The following is a 22,801-nucleotide window of genomic DNA, read 5'->3' on the forward strand; positions in this document are numbered from 1 at the left end:
TTTCTGCTGCCTGGAGAGACACCAAAATGTACAGATACACATGTGTCTGGTTTCATATACATGTCATTTTTCTGTGACCTTTTTGAAATCACATATTGTGATTTTTTTTTTTTTTTTGAGATGGAGTCTTGCTCTGTCGCCCAGGCTGGAGTGCAGTGGTGTGATCTCGGCTTACTGCAACCTCCCCATCCTGGGTTCAAGCTATTCTTCTGCCTTAAGCCCCCCAAGTAGCTGGGACTACAGGTATGCGCCATCACGCCTGGATAATTTTTGTATTTTTAGTAGCAAGGGGGTTTCGCCATGTTGGCCAGGCTGGTCTCGAACTCCTGACCTCAAGTGATCTGCCTGCCTCAGCCTCCCAAAGTGCTGGGATTACAGGCGTGAGCCACCACACCTGGCTTCACATATTCTGTCTTGTTCATTCGCATGTCTCCACTATCTAGCACAGTTCTCAGCACACAATACTAGTCCTCCATTAATTTCCATTAATGTTGCCAAGATGGAATTAATCTTTTGCAACTCCATAAAGATAGTCTCAGTTTGGTATCTGCAGTTCAGTCAATCTTCTGTTCATTTCACTTTCCTGGGCAGGACCAGCTCTGGTGAAAATTATGAAGTAATTTCATAATAAGAGTTGAAGTAATTTCAAAATAAGAGTTTTTCTTCATAACTCCATCGTGGTAACAACCTTCTCCCCAAATCCTCTGATAGGCTCTATTGGAAAAACGTAGGCTTTGCAGCTAGAAAGAAGTAGCTTCCAGTGACTGGATATGAAAACATACTGTAAACCTACAATGATTTGAGCCAGTGGCCCTGGCTTAGACCCAAGTAAATCAAAGGAAGAGTCTAAAACGCACAAATAGACCTAAGTATATGTAATAACCTAATGTATTAATAAAGTGAGATAAATGATTTTAGTCAATACATTACTGTTTGAAAATTAAATTTCAGAATGCATAAGAGTGCTAGGATAATACATGCATTGATTTTAATGTTCCAGTCAAAGACGGAAATTTAAAGGTTGATTGATACATTTGACAAACTAAACATTTAAAGTTGCAGTTTGGAACATTACCACGGTAAAACAGAAAAATGGCTTAATATGAGCTGGAACATCTATTTGCAGCATATATTACGGAAAAAGTGTGATGATCTTAATATATCGAGAAAGTGTACAAATCAATAAAATAGAAGATGATTGACCTAGTTAAAAAAATCAGCAAAAGACATAAATGGTAATTCCCAAAAGATGATATGCAAATTGCCAAGAAACATCAAAATAGCTCAGTATTACTAGGAAATAAATAAATTTAAACAACTAGATGTATATTTTTACTATAAAATTGACATTTTTGGGCTGGGCGTGGTGGCTCACTCCTGTAATCCCAGCACTTTGGGAGGCCGAGGTGGATGGATCACAAAGTCAGGGGTTCAAGACCCACCTGGCCAACATGGTGAAACGCTGTCTCTACTAAAAATACAAAAGCTAGCCGGGCGTGGTGGTGTGTACCTGTAGTCCCAGCTACTCAGGAGGCTGAGGCAGGAAAATAGCTTGAACCCAGGAGATGGAGGTTGCAGTGAGCCGAGATCACTCCATTGCCCTCCAGCCTGGGCAATAGAGTGAGACTCCGTCTCAAAGGAAAAAAAAATGATATTTTTTTGGAAAGGCAATGCCAGTGTTGGTAAGAGTTTGAGGAAATGGGAACTTGTACACACTGATTTAACCTGGCACAATTTTTTGACGTATGATTTTACAATATTCCTATCAAAAAATCTTAAAATGTTCTTATTCTTTCAGTTAGAAATTTCATTTGTAGCAATTTATTCTAAAGAGTAACTCTGGGTATAGGCAAGGGTTTATTTCCAAGGATATTCATTACACCATTGTTTATAACAGAAATCAGATACAATCTATCCAATAGAGGAATGGTTAAAAGTAATTTGGTACAAGAATGCAATGGAGTATAATGGGACAATGAAAAACAGTGAGGAAGATGGAGGGTCATGACCAGAGCATGTAAAATGAAAATGCAGATGATATAATAGCATGTACAATATGATTCTGTCCCAGTAGGTAATCAGACAGACGTGAGAAGGGCAGGAGAGCCCCCCGACCCCACCAGGAATGTCAGGCGACCATCAGGTGGTGGTCAGGTGGTTGTTAAACTCTCTAAAATAATAATCGGTTGCAGCCTGCACCAAGGAAAGGCAGTCTCCCAATAGACAGAAAAATCTGAAACTGGTGATCAGCTTCCCAGTAAGACCTCAGGAGTTGGGCAAGTGGGCTCAAGCATGCGCATTAAGAGGCAAAATGGTGGAGTTTCACTGGTATATGATCTTCCTCTAGGAACACTTGACTGGTAAGGGAAGAATGCCTCAAGTGAGCATGCGTACAATTTCAGGAAACACATTGTGGATGCGGCCCCTCCCAGATCCTGGAAGGCCACTGTGCACATGGACAGCCCACCCCATGGGAAGAATCAGAGGAGAAGGGACGAAACCCTCCGGAAGCAGAACAACCTAGAAAACCCCAAGTCCGAGGTCAAACTGCACTTGATCTCTCAAGTCCCCCGCTTTGTCCTCTTACAAGGGAAGTGTACTTCCTTTCATTCTTGCTCTAAAACTTTTTAACAGAGTTTCACTCCTTCTCTAAAACTTACCTGAGTCCCTCCCTGTCCCTTATGCCCCTTGGTTGAATTCTTTCTTCAGAAGAGGCAAGAATTCAGATTGCTGCAGACCTGTATGGATTCAGCACCGGTAACAATTCCATTTTTTTTTTTTTTTGAGACGGAGTCTTGCACTGTCACCTGGGCTGGAGTGCAATGGTGTGATCTTGGCTCACTGCAACCTCTGCCTCCTGGGTTCAAGTGATTCTCCTGCCTCAGCCTCCCGAGTAGCTGGGACTACAGGCGCCAGCCACCACGCCCGGCTAAATTTGTATTTTTTTTTTTTAAGTAGAGATGGGGTTTCACTATGTTAGCCAGGCTGGTCTCGAACTACTGACCTTGTGATCCACCCGCCGCAGCTCCCCAAAGTGCTGGGATTACAAGTGTAAGCCACTGCACCTGGCCTAACAATTCCATTTTAAATGTGTGTGTGCACACACACATATATACACAGAAGAAAGGTAGTTATCTTTGAGTATTGCAGGAAACTTTTAGTTCCTTCTCACACACACACACATATATTTTATATAACACAAAGTATTGTATGAAATCTAATATAATGTGTGATATAGACATGATACTGCCTAATACATACAGGGTTTCCTTTCCTATTATTATATTACTCATGGAAGCAGATTTCCCATTATATGACTCATGTAAGCAGATTTATAAAGTTATTTAATTGGACAACTCTCCAGACCTCACTATTACTAGCTGTATTTTTTGTTTTTGTTTTTGTTTTGTTTTGTTTCCCAAGAAGGAGTTTTGCTCTGTCATCCAGGCTGGAGTGCAGTGGCATGATCTCGGCTCACTGCAACCTCCGTCTCCTGGGTTCAAGCGATTCTCCTGCCTCAGCCTCCCAAGTAGCTGGGATTACAGGCATGCGCCACCATGCCCAGCTAATTTTGCATTTTTAGTAGAGATGGGGTTTCTACATGTTGGTCAGGGTGGTCTCGAACTCCTGACCTCAGGTGATCCGCGGGCCTCAGCCTCCCCAAGTGCTAGGATTACAGGCATGACCCACCGTGCCCAGCCCTAGTAGCTTTATTATCTTAGGCAAGTTACTTAAACTCTCTGAGCCTAAGTTTTTGCATCTGCAAAATTTGCATAATAATATCTACCTCTTAGAATTGTAGTGCAGATGAAATGGGATAATATGTATGAAAGCTTTCTGATCTGTATTAATCACTCAGTAAATGCAATGTCTTTTATTTTCTCTGGTACACTCTCCCTCCCTTATCACATGTGCACATAGGAGAGTTTCTAATATTAAGCAGTTATATTTTACAGTGAATTTAAATGAATGTCTTTTTTTTTTCCCAGATGGATTTTATTCTATGTCTGTGGGGTTTTCACTATAAAATGAAAGATTTGTTTCTATAACCTTCTATTTAAAGAATAATTGCAGTCTTTTTCCAATTTGTAGAAAAATTGAAGTCGATGGCTAGGAATTTTCTTCATTTTAATTTTCTCACCCTAAAACCACATCAGAAACTTGTTTTCCTGCTACCATAACGATCATAGCAGAAACTCCTATGAGCTAGAATCTGAGTTTGCGAAGTCATATTTGGTTGTTTGGATCCATCAGTGTTTCTGCAAAGCCTGTGTTGACTCTGCCAGTTCAAGGGGCTTGGGAAACACTTCGTTGGAAGGAGTGTTTTCACAGGTGGAGGTGTGAGGGCTCCTGGTTTGTCCCGAGGTTATAACAGAATGCAGTGAGTGCTAACCTGAGCTCGTTGATATTACGTGAGCGGACTGTCAGGCCACTTTGCACCAACCTGCCTGTACAATCTCTGAAAAGCTGTAGGTTAGGGTTCTGGAAATGGAAGTGTGGGCTGTGTTCAATGCAAGAGTGTGCTCTGGGCGGCAAACAATTCATGGAAAAATCAGCAGCCCCTCCTTTCCTCTGCACAACAATCCCTAGCAGAGATTACTTTAAGTCAACCATTCCCATTGATTATGCTTGCAAAAAAATATCCAGCCTCTTCCCAGAAAACAAGACATTCCTCCTCCAGACTCTTTTTAAATTGCCTGTCACCTGCTTTCTCCTGGGTTTGGTGAATAACCTCATCCTACTATTGGTCGGGCCTCTGTCTCGGGGGGCCCAGCTCAGCCCCGAACCTCGTTAGAATCCAGGTCTGTGTTCCTGGCACACAGCTGCTTCTTGCACTTGAAAACTGACGGGGAGAAAAATGGTCCCTGCACTTCCTATCAGCCTTAAACAGAAACATCTGCTCACCACGAGCCTTTTGCTGGCTTGGTTTGCAGGGAATGTGTTCTGGGCAGGTGATGGCGCTGCCTCTCCGCACGGTGACATCAGCCAGAGAGAACTGCTGCCGGGGACGGGAGGGCCCTGGGAATACAGAATAGTTCTGCCTGCCAGGAAAACGAAGCCTGAACTGCACATTTTATAAAGCTTTAAAAGCACAAATCCTGGCTTAAAAGGGGAAATATTGCCAGGTGGTGAAAAGTGCTTCTGAAGAAAAAGAAAATAATATAAAAGAGAGAGCTGATTGAATCCAGGAGTTCTGTCTGGCCCTTTTGTTCTTCCTTCCCTATCAGCCGAGCAATAAATGAAGATTTCTAGTCTGAGGGCATCCATTGAGACAAAAATGCTTTTCTTTCATCGGATTGTATCTGACATCTCACTGCATTTCTCTGTTTTAGGCACCGATTAAATATTCCAGCATGGGAAAGAGGCTTAGCCCAGAGTCTAGGTATAGATATCCCTTCTTCTTCATTATCTTCTTTTTTGTTGTTGTTTTTTGAGATGGAGTCTCGCTCTGCTGTGCAGGCTGGAATGCAGTGGCGCGATCTCGGCTCACTGCAATCTCCGCCCCGTGGGTTCAAGCAATTCTCCTGCCTCAGCCTCCCTAGTAGCTGGAATTACAGGTGTGCGCTACCACGCCCAGCTAATTTTTTTGTATTTTTAATAGAGATGGGATTTCACCATGTTGGCCAGGCTGGTTTAGAACTCCTGGCCTGGCCTTGAGTGGTCTGCCCGCCTCAGCCTTCCAAATTCTTCATTATCTTCTTAAAACTCTCAAAGAGAGCCAGAGCCAAAATTCTTCCTTTCTTTCTGCTTTCATATTAGGGCACAGAGGCACCAGGAAATCAAGAAGTTTGTGTAAAGTTTCCCCCCTTGGGGTTTTACGTGGCTTTGCTCATGCTGCATTTGTTTAAGTAACACAAAGCATGGGCCGTCACCATAAAGCAAATCTGTATGTGTCTCTCGCTGTCCCCTTAAGTCTGCTCCCATGGGTGGTGGGTGAAACCGCCTTTGCAAAATGATAACTGAGGAAATTATGACAGTGAAAGAGATCAGACCTAACCGACTCCATCTTGCTTCTAACCTTTAAGCTGTCCTTGTTCATGCCTGGGCATAGGCCGAACTAGCTTTGGGAAGGAATTCAGTTCATGGTTTGACTCTGAAACAAAATTGATAACAGCCCTTTCCTGAAAAGACCCCCTTCTTGCCCAGGGACGCGTCTGCCTTTGCAGGACTAACAAATTAGCTACAAGATTAGAAATAACAGTTTAGGGTTCATGCAGCCTCGGGCTCTATGAGTCTCAACCTCTCCTAATTGCTCCTGGGGATAACATCACTATTGTAAAACTTAAGATCAGTGCTTGAGATATTTTGTAGCCTCTGCACTGGATGGATCAGCTGACGCCACCCAGACGGGTAATCTGGCTCAACCAGTTCGGCAATCCCACCCAGAACAGAAGACAGCAAGAAAAAACTCACTTTGACCCCCTATAGATGGAATCATACACTCCCCACTTCCCAAGCCCACACCTGACAAATTATCTTTAAAAACTCTGATCCCTGAGTTTTTGGGGAGACTGATTTAATAATAAAACTCTGGTTTCCCGCACGGCTGGCTCTGTGTAAATTACTCTTTCTCCACTGCAATTCCCCTGTCTTGATAAATTGGCTGTGTCTGGGCATCGGGCAAGATGAACGGGCTCTGTCTGGGCAGTTACATGGGGATTGTTTTTTCATGGCCAGGGGCAAGCCTCTGGACTCCTCCGATCGCTTGTAGGGAAGGAAAACTCCTGTAGCCAATCTAAGTTATAAAACAGAGTCCCAGTCTCATGTGATAACCAACATTCTCAACCTAATTTAAAGCTGATTTTGCCTCATGCTTCCCTGTTGTGCTGGTGCAGATAGAAAATTCAGGCACGGGGCCGTTTTTTGTCCCCTCTCTTTTCTTGCTTCTCTTCCTCCTCCTCTGTGATCTTTCTACCTGGACCTTCTGACCCTGATGGGAAGCGGTTATGAAGAGCGAGAGGAGGTGAAGTGGAAGCAACCATCTGTGTGCCTGGAAATTGACAACCATCAGGTGACACTCTGCCTCGAATGTCCCCTTTTGGGGGCACTTCTGTGGATGCTTTGATTCTTTGGAGACCCTTCTTCCATTTCTGAGGCTTCCCACCTGCAGTTCCCTTGGTGCGAATGGTGCATTTTCCTTGAATCCATTTCTCACTCTATCTGGCCCCTAAACTTCTGATACAGGAGATAGAAAGAAATTATTTAGGCAGATAGTAAGGGCAACAGAGTCCTCGGTGCAATTTCCCTTTTAACAAAAAAGCCACCCCCAAATCATTTCTTTTCTAACAAAAGGCAGCCTGAAAAATCAAGCTGCAAACATAAATAAGCAAGCTGGAAGCTTGCACAGGAGAATGCTGGCAGCTGTGCCCATAGTAAAGGGCTACCTGGGGCCAGGTATGTTCGACATGGAGGCTTTATCTTCCCTTTTCTTTGTCACCACGTGTACAGTAAGGAACAGGCAACATGGTACCAGCCAGGCAAAGAGCTCATCTGCATAGTAAAAGATTAGGGTGGGGGCAGCCAGGTTTTTCCCGCCCTATGCAAATGGCACATCTGGTCCAAACAATCTTTGGTGCCCTATGTAAATCAGACACCACCTCAAGTTCATCTATAAACCCCCTTGGATTTCACTGTAGAAGTGGCAACCCATTTCCCCAGGACCCCTCCCTCTGCAGCAGAGAGAGCTCATCTCTTTCTTTTGCCTATTAAACTTCTGTTCTTAACCTCACTCCGGTGTGTCCGCATCCTAGTTTTCTGTGGCTGTGAGAAAACGAACCTTGGGTATTTACCCTAGACAACGATGCTGCTTCACTTCCAGAGGTGCCTCTAGCTTCTCTCTGCTGAAGTCCACTGCCTCTCCCTGCAGCCCTCCTGGATGAGGTCTAAAACCACACTTGGTCCATAGGAGACACACATGGATGCTTTGTCCTGACATGCTCTGGAACAGGAAGACTTCAAATGCAAGCACCTCTTCTGGGGTTTTGTCTGCTGGCAGCTAGCTAACCCATCTCTCACCTTCATGTTTCTTGGGTAGGAAATAGACCAAACCCTTTTGTCTTCTAATAGAGGGGATATATAGTAACCATATATTTGGGGGTTTCTGCTGAAGCCCCAAAGCCCCCTTCTCCAAGCTCAAGGAGAAGAGCAGGCACCTTGCAGTCCTCACCCTTGATAGGAAGTAAGATTTACAGTACATCAACAGCTAGTCCTAAAACCCTTTGCTATCTCCTTTCCTTGAAGTCCCTGATGCCAAACCTGGGTCAGGCAGAAGTGTCTCTTCTATTTGGAGGTGGGGGATTGGGGTGAGGTTGGGACTAAGTACAGCTTTCTTCAAAGAAGCTGTCTGCAAAAATCATCCCCAATCTCCAACTTTTTTTTTTTTTTTCTGAGACAGAGTTTTGCTCCGTTGCCCAGACTGGAGTGCAGTGGCACAATCCCGGCTCACTGAAACCTCTGCTTCCTAGGTTCAAGCGATTCTCCTGCCTCAGCCTCTGGAGTAGCTGGGATTGCAGGTGTGCACCACCATGCCTGGCTAATTTTTTGTATTTTTAGTAGAGACTGGGTTTCACCATGTTGGCCAGGCTGGTCTCGAACTCCTGACCCCGTGATCCGCCCACCTCAGCCTCCCAAAGTGCTGGGATTACAGGCCTGAGCCACCACGCCTGGCCTCTCCGATCTCCAACTCTTAACCCTTGGTATGGGTGGGAGGTTTAGGAGTTATTAAGCTATAATTCAGACAGCTCTTTGGTTATGTCATTTGTGCGTGTCTTAGATCTCTTTTGGAATGTGATGACTATTGTCTTTAGTGCCTTTGTTTCAGCCTCATGCGATGCTCTGACTATATTGACTGGCCTGTCTTCCTTCCCACTTGTTTCTAAGCTCTTGGAGGTGAGGTTCAGGTTTGATTAATTTCTATCTTCAACAAGCAGCCTGGGTCTAGCTCGTGGTAAGCACTTGGTGCGTTCTTGCTGAACCAATGAATAAATGCCACAAATCTCTTTCAGCGAATAATCAGTAATTTATTGAGCAAATAAATGATCAAATGCTGGGCCTTGCGCAGAGGGAGCAATGATCACATCTACCACAGGGCACAGTTTTAGAGCGCTTCCACAGTAGTTGGGATGAGTGGTTATTGGGTGTCAAAGTATTTGTCAATGTCCAATTCCAAGGCTGGGGCAGAGAAAGCATGGGATAAACCTAGATGATCTTGTGATGCCAAAAAGTAAATTACTTGGCTGGGGGGAAGAGGAAGGGCATGCCAGAAGGACATAGGAACCAGCCTGAAGGAGCCCTCAGTGGCCAAATCTGGGCCAAGCTGGGCAACAAAATAAAAATAAATAATGATAGTAATGCATTACAACGCATAGAATAAAAAATCAGTATCCGGAAGTCCACACTGGCATGCATGAGTAAATAATTACATAAATAAATTGAAGAGTGGGGAAAGCACTTCTTTACGGTAGAATTCTGATCATTAAATGTAGAAGGGATGATGGAAATAGGCAAACACCAGAGTAGTAAGTGCTTTAGGCAAAAATCAATGGATGCTGAAATGAGTGGGCAAAAGCGTGGCGAGAAAAGTGATACTCACATAATCTCAAAGTATATCCCCTTTGATACTTATTAGTTACAAAGAGAAAAATGGTAACTTTACAGTAGAGATCCCAGTAATCCCAATTTTATCAGGTGATCAAATTTAAAGATCACTATGGGTCGAGTATCCCTTATCAGAAGTGCTTGGGTCCAGAAGTGTTTTGGATTTTGGATGTTTCTGGATTTTGGAATATCTGCATGTACATAATAGGATATCTTGGGGATGAGACCCGAGTCTAAAGACAAAATTCATTGATGTTTTATTTACACCTAATACACATAGCCTGAAGGTAATTTTATACAATATTTCTAAACATTTTGTGCATGAAAAAAAAGTTTTGACTGTGTTTTAACTGTGACCCATCACATGAGTCAGGTGTGGAATTTTCCACCTGCACTCTAAAAGTTTTGGGTTTTGGAGCATCAAGCCTCACAGATTTTGGATTTTCAGATGAGAGAGTCTCACCCAATAGAGAGAAGACACAGTGACATCATGAGCCTGCTGGCCTGATGCACTGAGAAGGGGACAGCCTCACATCTGTGGTGCTTTTGCCTTCAAATACTGAATTTAGATATGAGGAGACCTCAGACTGATCCAAACTTGGGGACATTCTAGAAACTAACTGGCTAGTACTCTTCAAAAATGGCAAGATCATGAAAGAACAGACTGAGAACTATTCTAGACAGGGGGATGTTTAAAGAGACCCAACAAATGAAGGCAACATCATATCCTAGATAGGATCTTGGATCAGATAAAGGCTGTTCGTGGAACAATCGGAGAAGCGTGAGAAAGATGTGTAGGTTAATTTACAGTATCTCATCAACTTTGACTAATGTAGATGAGTGCATTGTGCCTGTGTAAAATGCATTAATATTTCGAGAAAGTTGCTAAGGGTTTATGATAATTACTTGTACTGTGGGTGCAACTTTTAAAAATAAATTTGAATTTATTTCAAAGGAGTTTGAGACCAGCATGGGAGTTGGTCAAGCCCCCTCTCTACAAAGAAAAAAAGATTATTAGCCAGGTGTGGTGGCTTAAGCCTGTAGTCCCAGCTACTAGGGAGGCTGAGGTGGGAGGATTGCTTGAGCCTGGGAGGTGGAGGCTGCAGTGAGCTGTGATGGTGCCACTGCACTCCAGCCTGGGCAACATAGCGAGACCCTGTTCCATCCCCCAAAGCATAAAAAAGTTAAAAAATAAATTAAAACTATGCCTTATTTTTAAGAAGTTAGTATCTCCCTCTTGAAGCTCATCCCTCTCTTGACTTTTTCAAGCATCTCAATCCAAAAGGGTTGGTTTCATCCCCCCTCCCACTGATTTGATCAGATCTTGCTATGGTTCCTCATGGCCACATGGTGTCGCTGTTGGCACTCTGTCCTGCCTCATCTTGCCGGCCTGGCAGATCCAGCTCCCTGCAGAGGCCCCCGGGAATAGCCATGGATGAGCCACGCCCCCAATCTCGAGCTTGGCGAAGGCGCTCTAGGCTTGAATCCTCCGAGGTCGTCGTTCTCAGGGCTCAGCCCTTTCAGTTCACATCCCGAGCCTCCTCTGATGGACCAGCTCACCCTGGAAATCGACTGGCTGGGCACTGGTGTGCTGCCTCTCCCAGCCCTTGAACCCTCCGTCTTCCCCGCTTGAATTGCACATCTTCAAGACGCTACAGACACCCTAGCTCCTCTGTCCTGCTCCCAGGGGAGACTGTAGGGATGCAGCCCTCTAAGAGACACTCCTTCAGGAATTCCAAGGTGTCCACACTTGCTTCTCTGGGAGGGAGGAGCAAGCTCAGTATGACTTTCTGTGCCCTCTCTCATTAGACATGAGCTCAAAAATTTGAGCACTTCATTTATTCACTTTCTACAAAAAATATTTATCAAGTGTCGGCTTTGGACTGGGCTCTCTGTTCTAGGGATTAATAAAAAGATCTTGGCTGTAAATCTAAAGGCAGACGTCATGAAACAAATCAAGAGTTAAGACTCTGTAAGGATGGGGTGCTGTGGGTACCTGACGGGAAAACCTTGCTCACCAGGTCTAACCGTGGAAGCTGGCACTTGAATTGAATCCTGGAAGAAGAAAAGTACCAGCTGATATACAAGAGGAAGAAGGACATTTTTCTCTGCGGGAGCAGCAAATATTCAGACCCCGAGTCTGAACGAAGACATCCTAATGTGTTCCTACAACTGTCTCCTTTAGTGCTCCTTTAATGCATTTGACCTTATTCTCATTCCTCTTTTTTTTTTTTTTTTTTTTTTGAGACAATGTCTTGCTCTGTTGCCCAGGCTAGAGTGCAGTGGTGCAGTCATAGCTCACTGCAGCCTAGACCTCCTCGGGCTTGAGCAATCCTCCCGCCTCAGCCTTCTGAGTAGCTGGGACCACAGATGTGCACCATCATGTCTGGCTAATTTTTTTTTTTTTTTTGAGATGGAGTCTCGCTCTGCCACCCAGGCTGGAGTGCAGTGATGTGACCTCAGCTCACTGCAACCTCTGCCTCCCGGGTTCAAGCGGTTCTCCTGTCTCAGCCTCCCGAGTAGCTGGGACCACAGGTGTGCACCACCACACCTGGCTAATTTTTGTATTTTCAGTGGAGGCAGGGTTTTGCCATGTTGGCCAGGTTGGTCTCAAACTCCTGACCTCAAGTGATCTGCCTGCCTCAGCCTCCCAAAGTGCTGGGATCACAGGCATCAGCCACAGTGCCTGCCTCTTGTCCAGCTTATTTTTATTTTTATTTTTTTGTAGAGATGGGGTCTTACTATGTTGCCCAGGCTGGCCTTGAACTTCTGGGCTCAAGTGATCCTCCTGCCTTGGCCTCCCAAAGTGCTGGGATTATAGGTATGAGCCACCACGCCTGGCTTCTGTTTTATTTTCTGTTTTGTTCTTCTGCCTCTCCACACTGGTCTATGAGCTCTGAGTGGGCGGGCACCTTGTCTTCAATGTTGACTTTATTCCCAGTGCCTAGGACCAGGTAGAGTCTCAGCTTTAAAAAAGTGACCAATTAATGAAACAGCTTAATGTATTAGTTAGTGGCAATGCAAGCTGTGGCTCCATCTGGCTGGGGTGATGTTTAGGGGAGCAGCAACTTCCAAGGCTATAGAGTCTGGCAAAAGGTGGGTCACATAGAACCTTGTGTGCTGAGCCTGGGAGGAGCTTTTGCTTCATCTTGAAGCCAGTGGGGAGCCTCGGAATCTATTGACCAGAAGAATAAGGTAATTGCATTTGTCTTGAAGGCTAGCTCTGCTGCAGCCTGGAAGCTACCTGAGAGGGGTTAAGGGGAGAGGCAGTGAGAACAGCAGGAGGCTTTTGCTGAGATTTGGGCAAATGACAAAAAGGTCCTGAGCCTAGAAGATCTTGTGATGCCAAAAAGTAAGAAACTATTTGAGAAAACAGAAGTATGGAGGCATGTCAGAAGGACACAGGAACCGGCTTGAAGGAGCTCCCAGTGACCAAATTTGGGACAAGTTGAGCAACAAAGTAAAATAATGGGCCGGACGTGGTGGCTCGTTTCTGTGATCCCAGCACTTTGAGAGACCGAGACAGGCAGATCGCTTGAGCCTAGGAGTTTGAGACCAGCCTGGGCAACATGGTGAGACCCCATCTCTACAAAAAAAAAAAAAAAAAAAAAGGAAAAAAAAGAAAAAATACAAAAATTAGCCTGGCGTGGTGGTGCACCAGCCTGTGGTCCCAGCTACTGAGAGGCCGAGGCGGACAGATTGCTTGAGCCCAGGAGTTTGAGACCAGCCTGGGCAACACGGTGAAATCCCATCTCCACAAAAAAAAAAAAACAACAAAAATTAACTGGATGTGGTGGCCCACACCTTTAGTTCCAGTTACAGCTGGCCACTTACTAATGCACTTAATTGGAGGAGCTATACTAATATTATCAACTATTAATTTACCCACAGCTTCAAGTACATTCATTATTCTAGTTTTATTAACCACCCTCGAATTTGCTGTAGCCCTTTTTCAGGCCTACATCTTTACACTACTAGTAAGCCTCTACTTCCATGACAACACATAATGACCCACCAAACTCATGCCTATCAGATGGGCCAAGCCTAGCCCCTGACCACTGATGGGAGCCCTTTCAGCACTACTAGTAGCATCCAGCCTAGCCATATGATTTCATTCTAACTCTGCTACCCTCCTGACTCCGCTACCCCTCCCTTCCCTTCCCTTCCCTACTAACCAATACATTAATAACATATCAATTGATGATGTGATATTATCTGAGAAGGCACATTCCAAGGCCACCATACATCAATCATCCAAAAAGTTCTTCCATATGGAATGATCTTATTCATTGTTTCAGAGGTGCTCTTCTTCACTGGTTTCTTCTGAGCGTTCTACCAGGAGGCTGAGGCAGGTGGATCGCTTGAGCCTGGGAGGTGCAGGCTGCAGTGAGCTGTGATTGCACCACTGCACTCCAGCCTGAACAACAGAGCGAGAACCTGTCTCAAAAACAATGATAGTCATGGATTATAACACATTGAATAAAAATCAATATCCAGGTGTCTACACTGGCATACATGAGTAAAGAATTAGATGCATACTTTGCAGAGAAGGGAGAGTGATTCTTTACAGATTCCTGTGACTACTAGGTGTAGAAGGGATGATCTTCCAGGCTCAGGACTTCTAGGCTGTGAGGGGGCTGAAGAGAAGGACAGGTACTATGGAGGTAGCTGGGAGAACAAGCATGGCCCCGACAAGATGGCGGCACCCACCCAGATGGCCCAGCCATTCTCGGAGGAGAGAAGAGTTTGAATCTGAACACTTTAAATGGGTGGTGCCTGGGTGTGCGACATCCCGGATAAAATTCCATGGACAGCATAGGACCTGTGGGTTTGAAGATGAAAAGGAAGATAGGAGATGGTCAAGGAGATTTGGGACTTACCAAGGTAAAGATGGAGGTAATGCCGTGGGTGTGAATGGCGGCATCCCAAGGGAGAATGCCCAGCGCGTTAACTCTGGATGGAGCCACAGCGTTATCAACAGAGAAGAGAAAGAAAAACCCAGCAAAGGAGACTGAGAGAAGTCATGGAAACCAAGAGGCCGTGAATTACAGAAATCAAAGAAGACGTTTCTACGAGTGAGTAGTCCACAAGGTCAAATGCAGCAGCCAGATCCAGCCAAACAAAGACTGGATCCTGTCCCTTGGGTTAGACTGTCTGGGCTTTGGTGGCTGCAGAAGCAGCACTGGTGGAGAGGTGTGGTCAGAGCGAGATCACGATGGGGTGAAGGGTTGGAGAGAGGAGACAGTCACTGCTCTAGCCCCATGGGTCCCTCAGTCCTTACCCCACCTCCCGTGAGCTCTCTCCCCATTTCCCGCCTTTGCATGCTTCCAGAGCCAGCTCCAAGCTGTCCCTCTCTCCTTATCTCACCTCTGTGGAAGACTTAATTCTTCCTTTATCTGCGTTGCTAAGATAATTCACTATACCTCTTAGGACACTTTTTTTTTTTTTTTTTTGTCTACATAACCTGTAAGGTGAGCTATATTTATATGTAACCTACACTCTCTATATTTATATATTTATTTATTTGGAGGTAAGGTCTTGCTGTGTCACCCAGGCTGGAGTGCAGTGGCACAATCATGGCTCACTGCAGCCTCCACCTCCCGGGCTCAAGCCATCCTCCTGCCTCACCCTCCTGAGTAGATGGGACTAGAGGCACGCACCACCACACTGGGCTAATGTTTAAAATTTTTCATGGAGACGGGATCTCCCTAGGTTGCCCAGGCTGGTCCGGTATCTCCCTAGGTGGCCCAGGCTGGTCCCAAACTCCTAGGCTCAAGCAATCTTCCAGCCTTGGCCTTCCAAAGTGCTGGGGTTACGTGCATGAGCCACTGTGCCTGGCGTCATCTATATATTTATATCTGTGTGTCCCCATGTAGTTCCCTCCTTTTATCTGCTTCTTTACGACTCTCCGAGCTCCCTTCCTTCCTCCCTCCTCCCATACAATTAAGCAGAAACAGAAGCCCTAAGAAAGAAAAAGAGGGCCCAAGAAAATTCTTGGGTGTGGGAGGAAGAGTCTCTCAGGAGAGTTTGCAGGGCTGTTTTCTGTTGTCAGTACTAGGTCACTGTGGGACTTGGGGAAGAGAGAGAGAGAGAAAGAGAAGGAAGGAAGGGGGATCTGAAAGTGGGTGAAGGGAAGGGAAAGGGTTAGTACTGGCCACCCATAAGGCCCTTGGACAGTGGGCAGAGACTTGGCTGTCTTGTAAGGGATGAAGCTCTCCGTGGAATCCTCCTTTCCCACCCAGATGGAACCAAACACATCATTGGGAATTAACTTTGGAGATGAGGCTCTAAAGGCTCCACCACTGACACAACTCTGTTGATCAGTAGACAGGGTATCTGGAGACCAGGGGCTGGGTTTTCCTTCCTGTCCCTCCAGTGCCTGTCCTAGCATTTGTTCCCTGCCGGTCCTTGGGAAATACTGGACCGAAAAGCAAAACAGATCATCCGGGCATTTGCTGGATTGACTTGGTTCCCCCGCCAATGAATCCTGCTCTCTTCTTTTTACCATTTCCTCCAACAAAGACATCAAAAGCTCAAAGAAAGAAGATCAGGGAACTTGGAAAGCCTCATCTGACAAGTGTGAGCTGACTCCCAGGGCCCTGTGCTGAGCAGGGCCCACTGGGCATTTCCCATCTCTGGAGAGGCACCCAGCCTCTCCTCTGAGCTCCGTCAGTCAGCCTAACATCCCACACTGCCATCGATTTTTCTGTCTTTCTACACTAATTAGACATGTTATTACTAATCTTTGGTAATCACCACAAGGGGCCTGTGGAAAGTCTCCGAGATTTCAATCTAGATTAAAAATAAGAAACATTATCACCTCTGGGACAATGCAGAGAAAGCACATGTTATTTTAATGTTTAAATCAATAAAGCTGTCCCGCTTCTGTTTTGTGCGAGTATTGATGAAATTTATAAAAATCCCATTTAAACTTCTCCCTGTCCATCTCATCCCTCCCCGCATCCCTCCCCGCAGGGGCACGTGATTGATTTCTCAGAGGGCATCTGAGATGGAGGGGTACAAGAAAAGGCTGTCAAATACCCTTGTGCATTGGGGGCGGATAGGAGAGACCTAGGGGGGAAAGGAGGAGGCTTCAGGGACCTAGTTCCCGCTCTTTTATTTCCATTTCCATTGATTCCTCTTATTAAAGAAGCCTTTGAACCCACAAGAAAGAAAGAGAGAAAATCCTTTCTTCCTTAATTAATCTCTTTTCCAATTGTTAGATTGCAAACTTTGATTGCAAAACAACCTGGCTGCCCCAGGCAGATTAAATCAGGCGGGGGCAAGAGGAAGGGGAGGGGAGGGAAACGTCTTAACCAGGAATTCTGTCATTGGAGAGCGGAGAAAAGAAAATTATCTTCAAACGAAGAGAACACCATCTAGCACATTCTCTCAAACAACTGAAACTAATGTGTTGACACAGAAAGAGAAATGAGCCTACTTTAATTTTCTGCAGAGACAGACTGTAATTTGTAACATCTCTGATCAGAAATTGAGGCGGCATATGGACTCAAAGAGAAGTATAGCGCCGTTAACTTTTTGCCAGGCATAGTGGGGTAGGGGGAGGAGGAACCGAACACATTTCTATTGCCACGGAGATGCTGGCATCAGCTACCAGGACAGCTTGTGCACGCAGAAGGGTGGCGTCGTGTACCACAACTCGGGAGGGAGGCAGCCTGTGTTTGTGCGTCTCCTGTGTGTATGGAGACTTGTACTCAGCTAGCTGCGAGGTTGGAGGGGCCGGATACATTCCTCCGCTCCACCACCTGTGCGAGAGCCCCTGGCTCCAGGCTGGGCTGCCCCTCCCGATGTGTGGTGCAGAAGAAGAGCTTAACTGGCTTTTGGTGTGAGCTCAGCTTTATTCCAAGAAGAGGATCCCCTTATTGCTGAACTTTCCCAGGACGGCTGAAGTACTTGGCATGCTTCTAACCCTATGCCCCAAACATCTGTTTCCCCTGCAGACTGCCAGCTTCTTTAGGGCAGAGGTTACATGATCAAAATGATGATACTGTCTTGTGTTTGTAATCCCAGCACTTTGGGAGGCTAAGGCAGGAGAATCACTTGAGGTCAGGTGTTTGAAACCAGGCTGGGCAACACAGTGAGACCCCATCTCTACAAAAGAAAATTTAAAAAAAATTAGCTGGGTGTGGTGGTGCACACCTTTAGTCCCAACTACTTGGGATGCTGATGTGGGAGGATCATTTGAGCCCAGGAGTTTGAGGCTGCAGTGAACTGTGATCAAGCCACTGCACTCCAGCCTGGGCGGCAGAGAGAGACCCTGTCTCAAAAACAAAAACAAATGATGATGGAAATAATCGTGATGGTGGTAATAATCATGAGGATGATAATCACCTTTACTCTACATTGAGTACCTACTAAGTGCTGGTTCCAACTTAGGCACATCACTTACCTTTTCAGCAGCTTGTCCAATATCCTAGCAAGGTAATATTTTATGAATGAACAAAGTGAAATGATGCAATGTCTTTCCCAAGGTCACTCAATCATTGGGTGGCAGAGTTGGAACTGAATCTCAAACTGTCCCCTCCAAAGCCACCCGTTTGCCAACCAGGCCATGTGTCTCCTGAGCTGAGCCCAGGTCTAGCACTTACTGATACTTAATGATGTTGGCTGAAAGACAAGTGTCTTCTTCACTTCTGTGACTTCTTGTGTGTGTGTGTGTGTGTGTGTGTGTGTGTGTGTGACAGGGTCTCACTGTATCAGAGGCTGGAGTGCAGGGGCTGGATCATAGCTCACTGCAACTATAGCTTCTACCCCCTGAACTTAAGCAATCCTCCTGCCTGCCGCCTCCCCTCAATCTCCCAACTAGCTGGGACTACAGGTTCATGCCACCATGCCTGGCTATGTAAAAACAAAAATTGTAGAGATGAAGTCTTGCTATGTTGCCCATGCTGGTCCCAAACTCCCGGCCTCAAGTGATCCTCCTGCCTCAGCCTCCCAAAGTACTGGGCTTACAGGCATGAGCCACTGCACCCGGCCCTTCTGTGACTTCCAACTGCCTATTATTTTGACCTACTGTAGCTTCCAGCTTTAATGATATTCTCTTGGATAGAAAGACTCCAGTGGCCCCACCCCCCACGCTAAACCTTTTGAATGCACTTTAGTCTCACTCAGAAATTCCATGTCAATTAGCATTGTTCACAAGAAAGGAAAGACAGCATTCAATAGACCTACCATGAACCAGGCACTTTCTGTGTTTTATTTCATTTAGATTTCTATCATCATCATCACAACCAATTTTTACAGATGAAAAAATAGTCTCAGAGAAGTTCGGTGAGTAACTTGTCCAAATTATTGCAGTGAGCAAGCAGCCAGAGGCTAAATTACCGCCACCTTATTATTTTTTGACACCATGGCCTTCAGCAGCCAATATCACATTTTGTAAGATGAGGGACTCCAGGCTCAATACATTCAAGAGAATCACCTCTGACCCCTGCACTTTTTTTATTTTTATGCTGGGGTTCACTCTGTCACCCAGGCTGGAGTGGAGTGGCATGGCACGATCACAGCTCACTGCAACCTCAACCTCCTGAATTCAAGCAGATTACAGGCGTGAGCCACTGGGCCCAGCAAGACAGGAATTTTGATTAGAGACCCAGGTCCTGTGCTTGGCATGTCACCAGGTTTATTTATGACTTATTCATATTGATTGACTGATTGAGATAGGGTCTTGCTATGTTGCCCAGACCTGTCTCGATCTCCTGACCTGAAGTGATCCTCCTGCCTCAAGCCTCCCAAAGTGCTGAGACGACAGGCATGAGCCACTGTGCCTGGCTCCTGCCCATTCTTAGACTCAAGTTCTGCATTTCTAGCTGTCTCTTGGACAACTTGGTAGCATCTCAAACTCAACATCCACGTGGTCATAGAACTGAGTCCAGGTGAATAGGATGTGAGTGGATGTATCTGTTTCCATGTCGTGTGGCTCAAACGCAGATGTGGTCATGTACCAACTCCAAACCCAAGGACACAGATAAGGCCTAGGTCCCTCCTGGACTCCCTGGCACAGATCCTGTCTGCCCATTCTGAAAGGGTATGGAGAAGAGAAATGTGCTCCTCTCCTGTCAAAGCCACAGCATACTAGGGTTTCTTTGCAGAGCAGCTTGCTTGGTCTCCTTTGAGACAACTTCACTCCTTTTCCTCTACGAAACCGATCTGGTTCCCCCACCCCCCAGATGACACTGGGGCAATAAAACACTAGAAACATACTTGGAAGATGGAAGCATCCTGATAATGAAATGCTTCCCATCTCAGTGCATAGAAGGAAACCAGGTTGTACGGATCACTTACTGGTGTCAGACATTTTCACATATCTTATTGATGTAGTTTAGATATGAGTGTCCTCCAGATCTCATGTTGAAATTTGATTCCCGAATTTGGAGGTGGGGCCTGGTGGGAGGTGTTTGGGTCACAGGGGTGGAGACCTCATGATGGCTTGGCACTGTCTCTGCAGTAATGAGTGAGTTCTCCCTGCATTAGTTCATGAGAGAGCTGGCTTTTTTTTAAAAAAAAAAGCATGGCACCCCTCTCTTTTTTTTTTTTTTTTGAGACAGAGTCTCGCTCTGTCACTGAGGCTGGAGTGTAGTGGCGTGATCTTGGCTCACTGCAACCTCCGCCTTCCAAGTTCAAGAGATTCTTCTGCCTCAGCCTCCCGAGTAGCTGGGATTATAGATGTCTGCCACCATGCCCGGCTAATTTTGTAATTTTAGTAGAGACAGGGTTTCACCATGTTGGTCAGGCTGGTCTTGAACTCCTGACCTCAGGTGATCCACCCACCTTGGCCTCCCAAAGTGCTGGGATTACAGGCATGAGCCACTGCGCCCGGTCACCCCTTTCTTTCCCCCCCCTTTCTCATCGTGTGATGCTGGATCCCCTTAGCCTTTCACCATGAGTGGAAGCTCCCTGAGGCCTCACCCGAAGCAGATGCTGGCATCATGCTTTTTGTACAACCTGCAGAACCATGAGGCAAACAAACCTCTTTTCTTTATGTTACCCAGTCTACCTTTATATCAGCACAAAACGGACTAAGACACTTAGGATTAATTATACCATTTCTCTCTTTTTCTTTTCTTTTCTTTCGAGACAGTCTCATTCTGCCGCCCATGCTGGAATGCAGTGGCACGAACTCACCGCAACCTCCGCCTTCCAGGTTCAAGTGATTCTCCTGCCTCAGCCTCCTGAGTAGCTGGGATTACAGGTGCCCGCCACCATGCCCAGCTAATTTTCATATTTTTAGTAGAGGCAGGGTTTCACCACATTGACCAGGCTGATCTCAGTCTCCTGGCCTCAAGTGATCCAACTGCCTCAGCCTTCCAAAGTGCTGGGATTACAGGCATGAGCCACTGTGCCCAGCAATCATGCTGCTTCTTAAAGTTTTCAATGACTTTTGGATGAAGTTCAGTCTTGGCTTCTTCAAAGCCTTTTTGGAGCAGGCCAGGCTGGAGCTAAAGCATTGCGCTGGCACAAGGATGCACAGACTCCTTAGTGAGCCCCTCCTCAGCTGGGCCTCCATCCACCCCATTCACCTCTGCTGTCCCCTTCTTGCTGTTTTTCCCTTTTCACTTTCTGGTTCTATCCTTGTGCCTTTGGCTCAGGCAGGCCCCTCTTCGTGGAATGCCAGAGGCATCTTATCTACCAGAAAGCTGGAACTCAACCTTTGAGACACTCTATTCCATTTCTTCCAGGGACTCTTCCCTTCTCTCCTCTTCCCTCCTGTGTTTTAGACTCTCCATTGTACAAGTAGACACACAGCTACCCACGAGATCCTATGGTTCTTAGCTATCCACCCATAGCAGACTATGAGCTCTCTGATGGCAAGAACCTATTTTTTTTTTTTTTTTTTTTCTGAGACAGAGTCTTACTCTGTTACCCAGGCTGGAGTTCAATGGCACAATCTCGGCTCACTGCAACCTCCGCCCCCTGGGATCAAGTGATTCTCTTGCCTCAGCCTCCTGAGTAGCTGGGACTACAGGTGCCCACCACCACGCCAAGCTAATTTTTGTATTATTAGTGGAGATGGGTTTCACCATGTTGGTTAGGCTGATCTCGAACTCCTGACCTCGTGATCCACCTGCCTCAGCCTCCCAAAGTGTTGGGATTACAGGCATGAGCCACCGCTCCCAGCCAAGAACCTTGCCTTATTCATTAGCTTGTGTAGATGCCAGCACAGTTCCTAGCACCTAGAAGGCTCTCAGTGAATATTGTATGAAATGATAACCCTGACAACAGTCATGTGAGGTCAGCATGATTTCTTTCCATTTGTAATCAGAAAATCTGACTCCGAGAGATTCTGACTTGCCCAGGAGCAAAGGTATCTAGTGTGAGGCTTGGGTTTTGAACATAGATCTGTCTGATGCCAAAATCCATGCTTTTTATATCCCTTTACAACTCCCTCTTGATATCTCTACCAAGTAGAGAGTGATTTCCTTTCAGAAAGACGGATTTTCTGGATTAAATGTGTCTAGACATCTCTCTCATCTTAATGCGGATTTGTTCAGAGCAAAGCAGCATCTCCCAGACTGGTGGCAAAACTGAAATAACAAGCAGCAGCTGCCACCTCCAGCAGCCCTGGAAGCCTCATCTGCACAGCTCCCTTGGCGTGTTGTCCTCATGGGTTCTGGAGACAGCCCTGAATTTTTCTTTCCTTTCCCTCCCTCCCTCCCTCTCTCCCACTCTCCTTTTCTTCCTTCCTCCTTTTTTCCCTCCCTCCCTTCCTCCCTCCCTATCTCCCTGCCTTTTTCCCTCCTTCCTCCCTCCCTTCCTTCCTTCCTTCCTTCTTTCCTCCCTCCCTCCCCCTTCCTCCCTCTCTTCTTTTTCCCCTTCCTTCCTTCCTCCCTTCCTTTCTTCCTTTCTCCCCTTTTCCTTTCTTCTTTCCTCCCGTTGTTCTTTCTCCCTCCCTCCCTCCGTTCCTCCCTTCTTCCCTCCCTCCCTGCCTCCTTCGTTCCTTCCTTTCTTCCTTCCTTCCTCCCCTTCTCCTTTCTTCCTTCCTAGCACAAAACTAGGCTTTCCCTTCTGCAATTCCCACCTGGGGGACGTTGATTTATTTTGGGCATTGGCAGCAGAAAGTGCATCTTGCTGTGGCTTTCATTTTGGTGATATTTGAGCTGCACCAGCAGGTGGGGCCTGAAGCTAGTTTGGCTGCCATCAGCCTTGTTTCTGGAGGGCCTGGAATTCAGGAATGGCTTTCCCT

The 22,801-nt window shown here is 46.0% G+C and overlaps 2 pseudogenes, besides 1 other annotated feature; both read left to right on the forward strand.

Moving 5' to 3' along the window:
- Positions 13,413-13,601, forward strand: MTATP6P21 (MT-ATP6 pseudogene 21; annotated as a pseudogene).
- MTCO3P41 (MT-CO3 pseudogene 41) lies at positions 13,604-13,931 on the forward strand (annotated as a pseudogene).
- Positions 17,437-17,618: a silencer, noted in NCBI's record as "fragment chr7:67096842-67097023 (GRCh37/hg19 assembly coordinates)". NCBI's record gives its function as "represses an EF-1alpha promoter that drives an FKBP-Casp9 reporter gene in an ReSE screen in phorbol 12-myristate 13-acetate-treated (for megakaryocytic differentiation) K562 erythroleukemia cells {active_cell/tissue: K562(+PMA)}" and the evidence as "EXISTENCE:reporter gene assay evidence [ECO:0000049][PMID:32094911]".

The sequence above is a fragment of the Homo sapiens genome, chromosome 7 (genome assembly GCF_000001405.40).
Source record: "Homo sapiens chromosome 7, GRCh38.p14 Primary Assembly".
Lineage (NCBI taxonomy): Eukaryota > Metazoa > Chordata > Mammalia > Primates > Hominidae > Homo > Homo sapiens.